This window comes from Homo sapiens, chromosome 8 (genome assembly GCF_000001405.40).
Source record: "Homo sapiens chromosome 8, GRCh38.p14 Primary Assembly".
NCBI classification, from domain to species: domain Eukaryota; kingdom Metazoa; phylum Chordata; class Mammalia; order Primates; family Hominidae; genus Homo; species Homo sapiens.
Window position 1 is genome coordinate 120,473,471 of NC_000008.11, and position 14,973 is coordinate 120,488,443.

At 34.6% G+C, this 14,973-nt stretch overlaps 1 protein-coding gene across 4 annotated transcripts in view; it reads left to right on the forward strand.

Moving 5' to 3' along the window:
* MTBP (MDM2 binding protein) overlaps nucleotides 1–14,973 on the forward strand; it is a 78,218-nt gene that overhangs the window by 28,052 nt on the left and 35,193 nt on the right. For all 4 annotated transcript variants that reach the window (XR_928318.3, NM_022045.5, XM_011516962.3 and 1 more), the window contains exon 12: nucleotides 14,689–14,862. Coding sequence is in view for 3 of the 4 variants with exons in the window: in NM_022045.5 (NP_071328.2) it covers nucleotides 14,689–14,862 (174 nt within the window). In the remaining variant the exon portion in view is untranslated. The remainder of the gene's footprint in view (nucleotides 1–14,688; nucleotides 14,863–14,973) is intronic.

A 14,973-nucleotide genomic window follows, 5' to 3' on the forward strand; every position in this document is an offset into this window, starting at 1 on the left:
GTAGATTCATTGTCTTTTTCGCTGTGAAATTTATACTCAAGTGAGGAATGTACCTAGGACAATAATTATAAGTCTGTTTGGCCAACACTGTGAAGGCAAAATGGAAGGTACTTCCAGAGTGTATGACCTAACATAGCCTTAAGAGCTCAAGAAAAGTTTCCTATAGGAGGAGACATTATTACTGTAACTTACTGCACCATACTAATACATGAATAAGTGCAGCTTTTAACCCTTCTCATCTCACAGGGAACAAATATATATTTGGTAATTTTGGCACTTGCTAAAACAAAATCAGAAATAGATTTTCTGAGTGGCAATATAGTCAATTTCGCTTATTCTACATATAGTCATGGGATAATACTGATCCATTTCTCAGCTTTACATATGTCTAAAATTGATTAGACATATGTAGACATATGCAATCAGTTAATCATAATATTAACATCTCCTTAATAAACTTGAGTGTATTCTGGCAACCCATTCATTATTTATTTTTCCTCTCATAACTTTCTCCAACTTCAAACTACCATTATGTTGGAACTTCTGATTTTAAGGTAATTTACTCTTAACTTAGGCGTGGGGGTTTTTTTGGCCTGATTTCCATTGTAATTTTAAGAATATATCATGTGGCTTGATTTGATTTTTTAAAATTATCTCCTCTTGAAATCTGAGCATTAATATTGGTAACTTGTGAATAATAATAAGACACAGATCACATAATCTTTGAAACCAGATTGTTGATTACTGATTAGGCTGGATCATTAAGGGCTGATTAAGCTGACACTTAACAGTATTTAAAAAAAAAATCTTAGAAGTAGAAATAAAATCAAACTGGACAGTTGATTATTCAGTTCTATTCTACCCATAATCCTCTCTGTAGGATAAATTCTTACCCATTGATGGAACTTTTTTTTGTAAAAATAGAGAAGCTGAGTTTTAGTTAATGTAAAAGCTTCAATAACTCACACCTGGAAAACTTCCTATCCCTTCCTAGCATCACTAACAATACCCTTTCTCACTATCAGACTCTCAGATCATTCTCCTACACCATGACTCTGTTTCTCCACAATCTACTGAATTATGCCCAACTGTCCTCTATTGTTGCCACATATATTCCAGAATCTTCATTCTAACTTTGTACTGTTTCCTAAAAGTATTCCCTGATTTTATTCCTTTGTGACTTTATTATTCATTCATTCATCTAGTCAGTTATACCTTTTATTCATTTATTTGAATATACAGCAGATATTGTGTATCAAGCATGGTACTGTTATCTTGGGATTACTGATCCATGAGATAGACTTGAGTCTTCCTCTAATGGAATTTACACTGTACCACAGAAAATAGATATTCAGAAGTTATTATAACATTGTATTTAGTAGTCACTGACTAGAAAAAATCCCCAAGACATAATGAAAAAAGCAAGGTATGCAATAGTTATGGTATTAATGGTAAAAACAAGTTTGTGTGTATTTAGCATTTAAACATATTTGTATATGCATTAAGTATCTGCTTTTTCAACAGATATTTTTATCGAGCACTTACAATATATTAGGCACTGTTTTACATGCTGGACAAGCAGTAAATAGAACAAAATCCTTTCCCTAATGGAGCTTACTTTATGGTAGAGGTCACAGGTTTAGTTTTTCCCCCAGATAGCCATATGACTAGTTCCTAATTTTTTCAGGTCTTTACTCCAAAATCATTTTTCTCTTTTAGGACCTTTTTTGCCAGCCCATCTAAAGTTACAAACAGACTCTTCTCCTGACCTCTTATTCATCTTCCTAGCTTTATCTTTTTACCTTAGTACTCATGCTGTCTATTATACTAAATGTGTGTCTACCTGATGCTTAACAGTTACTCAAAAATATTTGTTAAATAATGAGTGAAGTATATATTTCTAGTTAGTAATAACTGTTCTCCAGACAGATAAAGAAAGACTTTGAATGGACTCCATCCATGTAGTGTGAACCAAAATTTGTGCTCCAATTTTTATCAGTTTCCTAGGTTTCATCCTTTGATGAAATAAAAAATATGTGTATTAATTTGAACCATCTGATGTTTTTTTATATATCAAAAATTGTTACTTATCAGCAATTTCACATAGTTTGAACTTAAATGGACAAACAATGCCCAATTTGAAGTATGGTTTAATTATAATAGTAAATGAATGCCTTTTAAAATTGGTATTCAATAAAATACCCAGAAATTATGATGATACAGGAAAAATGCAAAAGCACTGTACAAAAAAATGAAATTAAGTCAACCTTATTACATTTCAAAAGAAAAATGCCTATATGTAAAACTTTTATTGAGAAGACAGATGAATAGTGAAAAATGGCTGGCTTGCCGTGTTTACAGAGATATTTTATGAAATTGTCAAAAAATTGAATGATCATCTGCAACCTAAACAAATCATAGATAAGTAATAAAAAATTGTATCTCCCATTATTGAAAGCCTACTATGTGCCATATGCTGTGGATTCATTATCTTTAATTCTCGAAACAATACTGAGAAGTAGGTTTTTAAAAAAACCTTTATATTACAATTGAGAAAAATAAGGTAATCAAGGAAACCAAGAACCTTATCTAATGTCACAGGGTGGAATTAGAATTTCTACCTAATTTTGAATGTATCTAAAGGCCATGCATGATTTCTTTTGTCACATCATGTATACTTTTGTTGAAAATAATTTTTAGAACTTGGTCTTTTCGGCCTTCGATAAACTTAAACACCCCTTCATGCTAAAACTCTCAATAAGCTAGGTATTGATGGAACATATCTCAAAATAATAAGAGCTATTTATGACAAACCCGTAGCCAATATCATACTGAATGGGCAAAACCTGGAAGGATTCCCTTTGAAAACTGGCACAAGACAAAGATGCCGTCTCTCACCACTCCTATTCAACATAGTATTGGAAGTTCTGGCCAAGGTAATCAGGCAAGAGAAAGAAATAAAGGGTATTCAGATAGGAAGAGAGGAAGTCAAATTGTCTCTGTTTGCAGGCAACATGATTGTATATTTAGAAAACTCCATCGTCTCAGCCCAAAATCTCCTTAAGCTGATAAACAACTTCAGCAAAGTCTCAAGATACAAAATCAATGTGCAAAAATTACAAACATTCCTATACACCAATAATAGACAAAGAGCCAAATCATGAATGAACTCCAATTCACAATTGCTACAAAGAGAATAAAATACCTAGGAATACAACTTACAAGGGCTGTGAAGGACCTTTTCAAGGAGAACTACAAAGCACTGCTCAAGGAAATAAGAGAGGACACAAACAAATGGAAGACTATTTCATGCTCATAGATAGGTAGAATCAATACCGTGAAAATGGCCTTACTGCCCAAAGTAATTTATAGATGGAATGCTATCCCCATCAAGCTACCACTGACTTTCTTCACAGAATTAGAAAAACTACTTTAAATTTCATATGGAACCAAAAAAGAGCTCATATAGCCAAGACAATCCTAAGCAAAAAGAACAGAGCTGGAGGCATCACGCTACATGACTTCAAACTATGCTACAAGACTACAGTAACCAAAACAGCATGGTGCTGGTACCAAAACAGTTATATAGACCAATGGAACAGAACAGAAGCCTCAGAAATAACGCCACACATCTACAACCATCTGAACTTTGACAAACCTGACAGAAACAAACAATGGGGAAAGGATTCCATATTTAATAAATGGTGTTGGGAAAACTGGCTAGCCATATGCAGAAAGCTGAAACTGGACCCCTTCCTTACACCTTATACAAAAATTAACTCAAGATGGATTAAAGACTTACACATAAGACCTAAAACCATAAAAACCCTAGAAGAAAACTTAGGCAGTACCATTCAGGACATAGGCATGGGCAAAGACTTCATGAGTAAAACACTAAAAGCAATGGCAGCAAAAGCCAAAATTGACTAATAGGATCTAATTAAACTAAAGAGCTTCTTCACAGCAAAAGAAACTATCATCAGAGTGAACAGGCAACTTACAGAATGGGAGAAAATTTTTGCAATCTATCCATCTGACAAAGGGCTAATATCCAGAATCTACAAGGAACTTAAACAAATTTACAAGAAAAAAGCAAACAACCCCATCAAAAACTGGGCTAAGGATATGAACAGACACTTCTCAGAAAAAGACATTTATGCAGCCAATAAACATATGAAAAAAAGCTTATCCTCACTGGTCATTAGAGAAATGCAAATCAAAACCACAATGAGATACCATCCCATGCCAGTTAGAATGGCGATCATTAAAAAGTCAGGAAACAACAGATGCTGGAGAGGATCTGGAGAAATAGGAACACTTATACACTGTTGGTGGGAGTGTCAATTAGTTCAACCATTGTGGAAGACAGTGTGGCAATTCTTCAATGATCTAGAACCAGAAATACCATTTGACCCAGCCATCCCATTACTGGGCATATACCCAAAGGATTATAAATCATTCTACTATACAGACACATGCACATATATGCTTATTGCTGCACTATTCACAATAGCAAAGACTTGGAACCAACTCAAATGCCCATCAATGATAGACTGGATAAAGAAAATGTGGCACATATACACCATGGAATACTACGCAGCCATAAAAAAGAATGAGTTCATGTCCTTTGCACGGACATGGATGAAGCTGGAAACCGTCATTCTCATCAAACTAACACAAGAACAGAAAATCAAACACCACATGTTCTCACTCATAAGTGGGAGTTGAACAATGAGAACACATGGACACAGGGAGGGGAACATCACATACTGGGGCCTGTCAGGGTATGGGGGGCTAGGGGAGGGATAGCATTAGGAGAAATACCTAATGTAGATGGTTTGATGGGTGCAGCAAAGCACCATGGCACATGTATGCCTATGTAACAAACCTGCACATTCTGTACATGTATCCCAGAACTTAAAGTATAATAAAGAAAAAAAAAAACTTGGTCTTTTCAATTTTATGTCTTGATATTTGTGGAAATAATTTATCCTCATGTAGCAGAATAATAGTATCTGACAATTTTATAATTCTAGATGTTTGATAATTTTAGAACTCTAAACTCCAATATTGCCTTATATTTTTAAAATTGGAATTCTTTTGAAAAGAAACATGTTAAAGGCACTCTTGGAGAAAATCATATCTGATTGTTTTGTTGACTAACAATTCTTCTAATAAAAATATTTTTAGAGGGACTAGATAATGACTGATAAAATGTTTTGAAATGATGAAGCATGTGCCTTTTCCACATTCAAATCACCATGGTGAAAGTATTTCAAAATAGTGGGCTGACATCAACAGTGGATTGGATAAAGAAAATGTGGTACATATATACCAGGAATACTATGCAGCCATAGAAAAAGATCGTACACGTATGCTACGGAATACTATGCAGCCATAAAAAATGATCCATAAACACCATGGACTACTATGCAGCCATAAAAAGATGGTACATATACACCATGAAATACTGTGCAGCCATAAGAAATGTGGTACATGTACACCATGGAATACTGTGGAACCATGTCCTTTGCAACACCGTGGATGCAACTGGAGGCCATTATCCTAAACGAATTATCACAGAAACAGAAAATCAATATCACATTTTCTCACAAATGGAGGCTAAACCCTGGATATACACAAATATAAAGATGGGAACAGTAGGCACTGGGGACTCCAAAGGAGAGAAGTTGTGTACTATGTTCACTGTCTGGGTGATGGGATTAATAGAAGCACAAACCTCAACATCACACAATATACCCTCATGAGAAACCTGCATGTGTACCTCCTGAATCTACACTCAAAGTTCAAATAAAAAATAGTGGGCTGAAACAGATAAGGTTAAAATAGCACAGTACAAGTGATCTATAAATTTCATCTTGAGAAATAAAGGACTGATAGGATTTTGAAAGAAATTTTACTGACAGAGACAAAGTATTCTTTTAGTCAACAAATATTTTTCTGTGCCTGCTGTGTGCAAGGTATTACTGTGGTGCTAGGAATACAGTGGTAAACCTTTCAAGTAACTTGACTACCAACCTTTATTGTACACTTAACTTTATACTCATTCTTTTCAAGCACATATGAAACATGCTTCAGGACAGACCCGTATACATGCTAGTCCACTAAATGAATCTCAGTAAATTTAAAAGGATAGAAATAATACACACGATATCCTCCAATTTCAATGGAATTAAGTTAGAAATTGACAACAGAAAGAATCCTGAGAGATCTCTCAACTATTTGGGAATTAACACACTTCCAAATAACCTATAGGTCAAAGAAAAAATCAAAAAGGAAATTACAAAATAGTTTTAACTGAATGAAAATAAAAACAAAACATAAAATGAATGGAACACAGCTAAAGCAGTACTAAGAATATCTGAAATGCTTATCTTAGAATGGAAGGAAGATCAAGAATCAATAATTTAACCATCAACCTCAGTAAGCAAGAAGACCTAATCTAAATGAGTAGAAGGAAAGAAATAGACCAGAAATTAATGAATAAAATATTGAAGAATGTCTACCAAAAGAAGTAAAAGAAGTACACTGAAAACCCCAAAACATTACTGAGAGTAACTAAAGAAGATATAAGTAAATGGAGAGATGTACCATATTTAGAGTTTGGAAAACTCAGTATTATTAAGATAGAACTCCAAATTGAACCCAATGCCTATCAAAATTCCAGCAGGACTTTCTATAGAAATTGACAAACTGCAGGAGTTCAAGACCAGCCTGGCCAACATGGCGAAACCCCGTCTCTACAAAAAAAAAAAAACAAAAACAAAAATTAGCCAGGCGTGGTGGCAGGCACCTGTAATCCCAGCTGCTCTGGAGACTGAGGCAGGAGAATCGTTTGAACCTGGGAGGCAGAGGTTGCAGTGAGCCGAGATCACGCCACTGCACTCCAGCCTGGGCGACAGAGCGAGACTCCGTCTCAAAAAAAAAAGAAAAGAAATTGACAAACTGATCCTAAATTTATATGGAGTAGCAAAGCAACTAGAATGGCCAGAACAATTTTGAAAAGGAAAAACAACATTTGAGAACTTATGCTACCTGATCTCATGACTTATTATAAAGCCACAGTTATCAAGACATTGTGGTATTGGGCTAAGAATACATAGATCCATGGAACAGAATAGAGTCAGATGCCAATGGCGAAAGGACAGTTTCAACACACTGCTGGAAGAATTGGATATGCATATGTAAAAATTATGTATATATATTTATATATGTATTTAGACTTTTACTTTAAATGAAAATTAGCTCAAAATGGATCATATAACTTAATTCAAGAGCTAAAATTATAAAGCTTTTGTAAGATAACATAGATAACAAATCTATAAATTAGAAAAAGAAAACAAATTTATAAAGTAGAATTCACCAAGGTTCAAAATGCTTACTTTTTGATAAACACTATTAAGAACATTTAAAAACAATCTACTTAAAGAAAATAGTTCCAGTCGTATATCTGACAATGGACAGATAATATTTGAAAAATTCTCCCAATTTTATATATAATAAAACAACCCAGTTAATAAGTGAGTGAAATGCTTGAATAGACATTTCACCAAAGAAGATACACGAATAACTAGTAAACTCCACGAAAAGATGCCCAACATCATTAGTCTCTTGGGAGATGCAAATTACAACCAAAATGTGATTCTACAACACACTCACTAGAATGGCTGTAATTGAAAACAGTGACTATCAAATGTTGATGAGGATGTGGAGAAACTTCACATCTCACACATTGTTGCTGGGGATGTTCAATAGCACAGCTAGTAAGGAAAACAGTTTGACAGTTAAACTTGCACTTGGCTGTACAACCCAGCCCTTTCATTCCTAGATATTTACCCAGGAGAAATGAGAACGTATGTTTACACAAAGGCTTATATGCAGGTGTTTATAAAAGCATTATTTGTAATAGCCAACACTTGGAAACTATGCAAATATTTATCATCTGGTGAAGAGATCATTTTTTTTTGCATATAATGGAATACTGAGGAATGAGAAGGCATGAAAAGTTTGGAGTGTACCTGAAAAACATTGTGCTAAGTTTATAAATAAAGTCAGACAAGGTTAGATTATTTATTGTCAGATCATATATATGAAATTTCTTCAAAAGGCAGAAGGAGACAGAAAGCAGATCAATGGTTGTCTGAGGCCATGGGTAGAAGGGAGATTGACTGCAAAGGTGTGATGGAAGTTTCTCAAAACTGGATCATAGTGATGGATGCACAGTTGTTTACATTTCCCAAAATTTGTTAAAGTTAGACTTTAATATATATGTACATACGTAAATACATATGTAATTTTACATCATTAAAGGTTTTTGTTTTTTATAAGGATCACTTTTTGTAAGAATCATTCGGGTCCTTCAACCTAAATGCAGAGTTTTGTTTATCTCTCTAGTTTAATGATTCTTAACACCAGCTACAAATTAGAATCATTTTGACAGTTATTTAAAGAATCACTTTTTTTCTAAGAATCATTTAGGTCCTTCAATCTAAATGCAGAGTTTTGTTTCTCTCTCTAGTTCAATGATTCTTAACACCAGCTGCAAATTAGAATCACCTTGACAGTTATTTAAAAATGTCAAGCTGAGCTCCACCTGAAAATAATTCAACCCAAATCTCTGGGGTGGACCCAGGGTGTCAGTGGTTTGTTAGAGCATCCTTGGTGGTTCAAATGTATATCCAAGATTGAGAACCTCTGCCCTAGGTGGTGCTTTCCCCAACACGAGGTGAAATCACTGTCACTGAAGAATCCTTTAGATGCTTTGAGGCAGAAAAAAAATTGAGAATCACTACTTTAGGCCTTTAATTCCTTATCTAGAAAATGAGAGTACTACTACTTCCTTATTGTATCTCAAACTTGTTTGAATCAAATTGGTAATGAAGGTACACACTTTCTAAATTCTGCAGTAGCTTTTTGTTATTCGGTCCAATCTTCTATGCTTCTGTGTCTGTTGAACAATAAAGAAATCATTGCTGTTCATAATGAGTAAGATCTGGAAATATCTTCTGAATGGCTTCTCTATTCATTGTAGCTTTCAAATTGTGTATTTTATTATATAGTAATTGAGAGGAAATGTATATAGTTTATGATCCTAATATTACTTAATTGTTTAAAATAGTCATGGTGGAATTTATAAATCCTGTGTTTTTATAATTTTCACAGTAGTGAGTTATACACCTATTCAACAGTACTATTCTTCTTTTTTTTTTTCTTTCTTTCTTTTTTTGAGACGGAGTCTTGCTTTGTTGCCCAGGCTGGAATGCAGTAGCGTGATCTCGGCTCACTGCAACCTCCACCTCCTGGGTTCAAGCGATTCTCCTGCCTCAGCCTCCCGAGTAGCTAAGATTACAGGCACATGCCACCACGCCCAGCTAATTTTTTGTATTTTTAGTAGAGATGGGGTTTCACTGTGTTAGCCAGGATGGTCTTGATCTCCTGACCTCGTGATCCATCCACCTCAGCCTCCCAAAGTGCTGGGATTACAGGAATGAGCCACCGCACCCGGACAGTACTATCTTTTTTTTTTTTTTTAACTATTTTAGATTCTTTTTAAAATTGAGCCACAGTCATTTTCTTGAACAATTTCAGTGGCAGCCTAGTTTTACCCTAAATTGTTCAAAGCTTAGTCTGATGAATAGGGTGGGGTATCAGGCTAGGAAATACATTTTTGAAGATGATTTATGAATATAAAGTAATTAGATTTATTTTTTTTTTCTTCTGCCTCCCCAGCTGGCACTAAGGGCTGTTTCAAAAGTTGAGTCTAGAATTAAACAGTGATCTCATTGTTGAAAAGAGTATAGCCTCCTAAGATGCCTACATTGGAAACTAGATTTTGCTTTATTATTTCATTTTTGGAATGATTATTAAAATAATTGGTTATATTATTTTGCCATTTCTTTATGAACATATATAATAACTATCAGTAAGTCGGAATATTCACTTACCCAGAATATCCTGTTTCCCCCGTAGTCCTGGGATATATTTTTTCCTTCCATCATGTGGAATATTATTTATCCTTTAGATTATTATAATTTTGTTTACATATTAGCTGTTAAAAATGAGTATTATAAGGTTTTAAGAACAACTAAGAAACTTATTGACAAAGAATATAACTTGATTTTTGTTATATAAGAATTTTTTTTGCTAATACTAATAAAGACATAAGACTTTATTGTGGTTTATGTGTTATCTGTAAACTTTGATGCAACTAATAGACACTTGGTAGTTTCTGCTTCTCCCATTTTATCTGTATAGTATATCCAAAATATACGTATGCTTTTGGTGGAGAGGGGCATACAAGCCAACACCTTATCAAATAATAATGTAAGTAAACATAACAGTTGAAAATAGACAGACTTTTTTTTAGTAATCATTTTCCCTTATTACTTTAGGAAGAGTGATGAGGCTGGAATAACTACGCTAATTGTAAATCTGTTACTCTCTGTGGCATTTACATAAAAGTTATTTAATAAGTCTTCAATTAACACCTGCCAAATCTGGAGCAACATTTTTTAAATGACTGCAGAGTCATTATGGCTAAGAGAGTTGTTTACAGTAAATATTTTTCTTTTGAGGAAAATAAGATTGTTGTAATTACAAGCTTCAGTGATTAAAATGCAAATAAAGGTGATGAGATTTAAAATAAATGTGGAAAGAATGTCATAGATTGAAGATATATATATAAGTTGAATCAGCAAGCAGCTAAAATGGTAAATGAATTAAGGTCACTGTATCTTTTGGCAAACCTTAATTTCTAATAAAACTGGTAACAACAAGTGTTTTTCTTTTCTAATAACCTTTATTTAAATTCATGTTCTAAAACTGCAGTTTATGAGCAGAATTAATGTCACTCTAGCTATCTAATTGTAAAAATTGTTTTTGTTACTTCATCATTGTTTTTGGGAATAGACTATAACCCACGGTATCTTCCTATCTATGAAATAAACTGTAGCTATTGTAATAAAATTACAGTACTTTCTTAGTATTTTGGGATGTATATATATATATGTGTGTATATATTACATTCTATATACTACATAAAAGAATCTTTTATTTGCTGTGTGGTTGTCTATAAAGAACTGAAGTACTGTCAAGAACTTTCTTTTTGTGAGCAGAACTTTACATTCCTAAGATAATTTTTAAAAATACAGTTTTATTGAGATATAATGCATACCATACATTTTACCCTTTTAAAGTTTACAATTCAGTGGCTTTTAAAATATAATCACAGAATTGTGCAACTATCACCACAGTCAAGTTTAGGGCATCTTAATCTCCCCGGAAAGAAACCCCATACGTGTTAGCAATCATTGCGCATTTCCACCACCCATTCCTCCTCCCTACCCCTAAGCAATCTATTTTGGTCTGTATAGATTTGACTGTTCTGGACATGTCATGGAAGTGTAATCATATAGTATCTAGTTTTTAGTGACTGGCTTCTTGGACTTAGTATAATGTTTTCAAAGTTCATCCATGCTGTACATGCTGTAGCATATGCCAGGACATCATCCTCTTTATTGCTGAATAATATTTCATCACTTAGATATACCACATTTTATTTATCCACACATCAGTTGATGGACATTTGGGATGTTGACACTTTTAGGCTATTATGAATAATGCTGCTCTGAATATAAAGGTACAGGCTTAAAATTATTTTCAGTATAAATCTAGGAGTGGAATTGCTGGGCTTCGTCTTTTTTTCAGTGTCTTAAGGTAGAAGGTTAGCTTATTGATTGAGATCTTTAATACTACTTCAGCTATATTTGATAAATTTTATATCTTTCATTTATCTTAGAGTATTTTTAAATTTCCATTGTGATTTCATATTTGACCCATTGGTTATTTGTTGGTGTGTTGTTTAATTTCCACATATTTGTTAATTCCCCAAATTTCTTTGAATTATTAGTGTCTAAAAGGACTAATGATTTTACTCCTTTTAAGTTTATTGTACTTTTCCACTCCAGTGTTTCCATTGGGTTTTTATTTTATATCTTTTCATCTATGTTCTCTATTTGATGAGACATTGTCATCATACCTTTCATTTCTTCTTTAAGCATGGTTTCCTTTAGTTCTTTAAACGTATTTATAATGTTTGCTTTGAAGTCTTTGTTATATTTAACTTCTGGGACCTCTCACAAGTATTTTCTGTCACTTGCTTTTCCCCTTCTGTAGGTATTACACATTCCTGTTTCTTTGTATGTCTCATAATTTCTTGATAAAGATGACAATTTAGGTAATATATTGTAGCTATTGGTTAATAATTTATCTCCCCCCTTATTAGGTTTGTTTTCTTGTTTGCGTATTTATTTGTTGTATGAGTTGGCTAGGCAATTTTAATGAAGTCTGTTTGACTTCGGTGTCACTCTTCAGAGGGTGCGGCCTTCAGTGTGGCCACATTCACCCTGGGAATCCAGTGGTCTCAACCTGACTCACTTTGCCTTTCCCTGATACCTTCTTTGTCTGCCTCATTTGCTATCACATGTAGCTACTTTATACCTCACTAATTGCCATCTTCACTAATTGCTTTATTGTTTTTGACAATGCACTGGGGCTTAAATTGTTCCACATCCATTTAAATTTGATTCATTTTTGTGGCCATTCTTCGATTTGAATTCTGACACCAAGATGACACTTCTTAGCTGTCTCATTCCCAGGTTCTCTCTAATGAACTAGATCTTTTGCTTGTTTCTCTTAATTAAGTGAACTACCAGCCTCCTTTTATTTGCTTATTACCAAGTCTCCATAGTTTTTGAGACCACCTTTAGGCTCCAACTTACCCGCAATCTGAGTCAGATAAAGTCAGTTTCTTTGGGTAGTGCTTAGGGCCTTCTGTTTTAAGGTCTCTTCCCCTGGGCAAAATCTCTGAGCCACTACTTCGGTAGCTGGGCCGGCATGTAGCTTCTGGTCTTCTTTATATACCTCTCCCAGTGTAGAAACTGCCCTGTGAATGCGCTGAGGTGAAGACATTTGGGTGCCTATTTTCTCAGCTTTCCTATCCTGGGGTAGAACCTCTGCCTTATGAGTAGGGGCTAGGTGGAGAAAGGAAGTCCCTGAATTCTCATCATATGCGTCAGGAATTTAGTCTTTTCAACTCAGAATGAGGGGATGAGAAATTGCTGACAGCCTGCTCCTTCCCATGAGATGCTGTAACCCTTTATTGGAAGCCGAGGGAGGAGGGAGACCCATCTTTTTGGCCACAGCCGCTTGGATTGGAGTTTCTGTCCATCTGTGTTGGGAATGGGTGGGGAAAAGCAGGCTGCGGCTGAAGTGCTTCGGACTCTTAAAAACTAAGCCACAACCTGCTTCTTCCCAACCCATTCTCAACTCAATGGATAGAAGCTCCAATCTGTCCAACGTGCTTCTTCCCAATCCTAATCTTAGTATATTTTCCTGAATAAATGTTTCTTAATTTGGTATATACCCTTAGGATCATTTCACCGGTTGTGCTTGTATTGCTGGGGAGTGGGTCCACAGACTTTCTCACCCTGCCATCCTCATAGCCCCTAAAATAAACTTAAGGGAAATAGAGACATAGATAACTTTTTAAAGTGGTAAGCATTCACTTTGATTCCCTGATAATCAATCAACCCTTAACTCTGCCTTATATATCTCAAGCCAAAGACACTTTGTTTTACCCTCTCCAGAGAATAAGCCTCTAATCTTCTGACAGTCATTTGCCTGAATAGAATAAGGGATCAGAAGGCCTGTTTCTCAAGTTGACTTTCAAACTCTGTTCCTATTCCAGCTTCATTTTGCTTCCAGTGCCATCTGGGGTCACCATTCCAGAGCCTCTTGAGGACGCGTGTATAAATTGTGTTGCTTTGGGGCTTTCTCTGCTGTTTTTCTCAGCTCCTTAGCAGTGGAGAGATTGAAGTTTGTTACCAATTGTTCATATGCTTTTCTGCTTTCAAATTTTAGTTGTCGTTGTCTCTTCCAGATATTAGTTCTTGTAGATTTATGCTATTTTTAAGATTTCTTTATTCTCATTTAGTGGAATTTCAGGAGATAGTGAATATAAATGTTTATGTCCAACTCACCATCTTCAACAAAGAAAGATTCTACTTCTATTTTTAATCTCAAAGGCTTCACAGTTTTTCTTCAACCTTCACTATAACCCTCACTTGATTTGCTTTTAAAATATACTAGACGCTGTCTTAACTGACCTTCACATAACTGGCATGCCAGATTAATGAATGCTCTCCATTCCCTCTGTAAAATACATTATGGATGCCCACTGCAAGAAGCAAAAAGGGCAAGAAGCGAAAAGCTTCCCAGCTCCCAAGTATAGCTGTATCCTTCTGCTCCCACCAATTAAGTTGGTGTTTGTAGGAATCAGTTTATTCCTCTTTAAAGAAATGGAAGCTGTAAACATTATTGATGTGGTTATTTAAGAAATATACTGTAGATATGGTAAGCCATATCAAAAGTTAAAGAATGAGTACACATACTTTTAATTTAAAATAAAAGATTTATGCTTTGTAATTGTTATGATTTTTTGCTTTAACAGCTTTCTCAATTAAATGAACAACTACTAGCCCTGAATGTATTAACAGCTTGTTTTAAAATAACAAAAAATTTTATTATATCCTATGGATCAAATGTATGGTTCTGTTGTGTTGTGTGCTGAATTTTCACATACTTAACAAGATAATTGTTTTTGTTTAGTTCCAGATGTTGAAGTGAAAGGAGAGTGTTCTAGCTATTATCTCTTGTTACAAGGTAATGGCAATAGAAGATGTAAAGCCACATTGATTCACTCAGCCAACCAGATCAATGGCTCATTTGCACTCAATTTAATTCATGGAAAGATGAAAACAAAGACAGAAGAAGCCAAATTGAGTAAGTGTTAACTTCAGGTAGAAAAACATGTTTACATTGTTTGTGTGTGTGGTTAGCATATGTGGCTTTAAGTAGAAGAAATACTAAACATTTAATGAATTTATTTTCGCC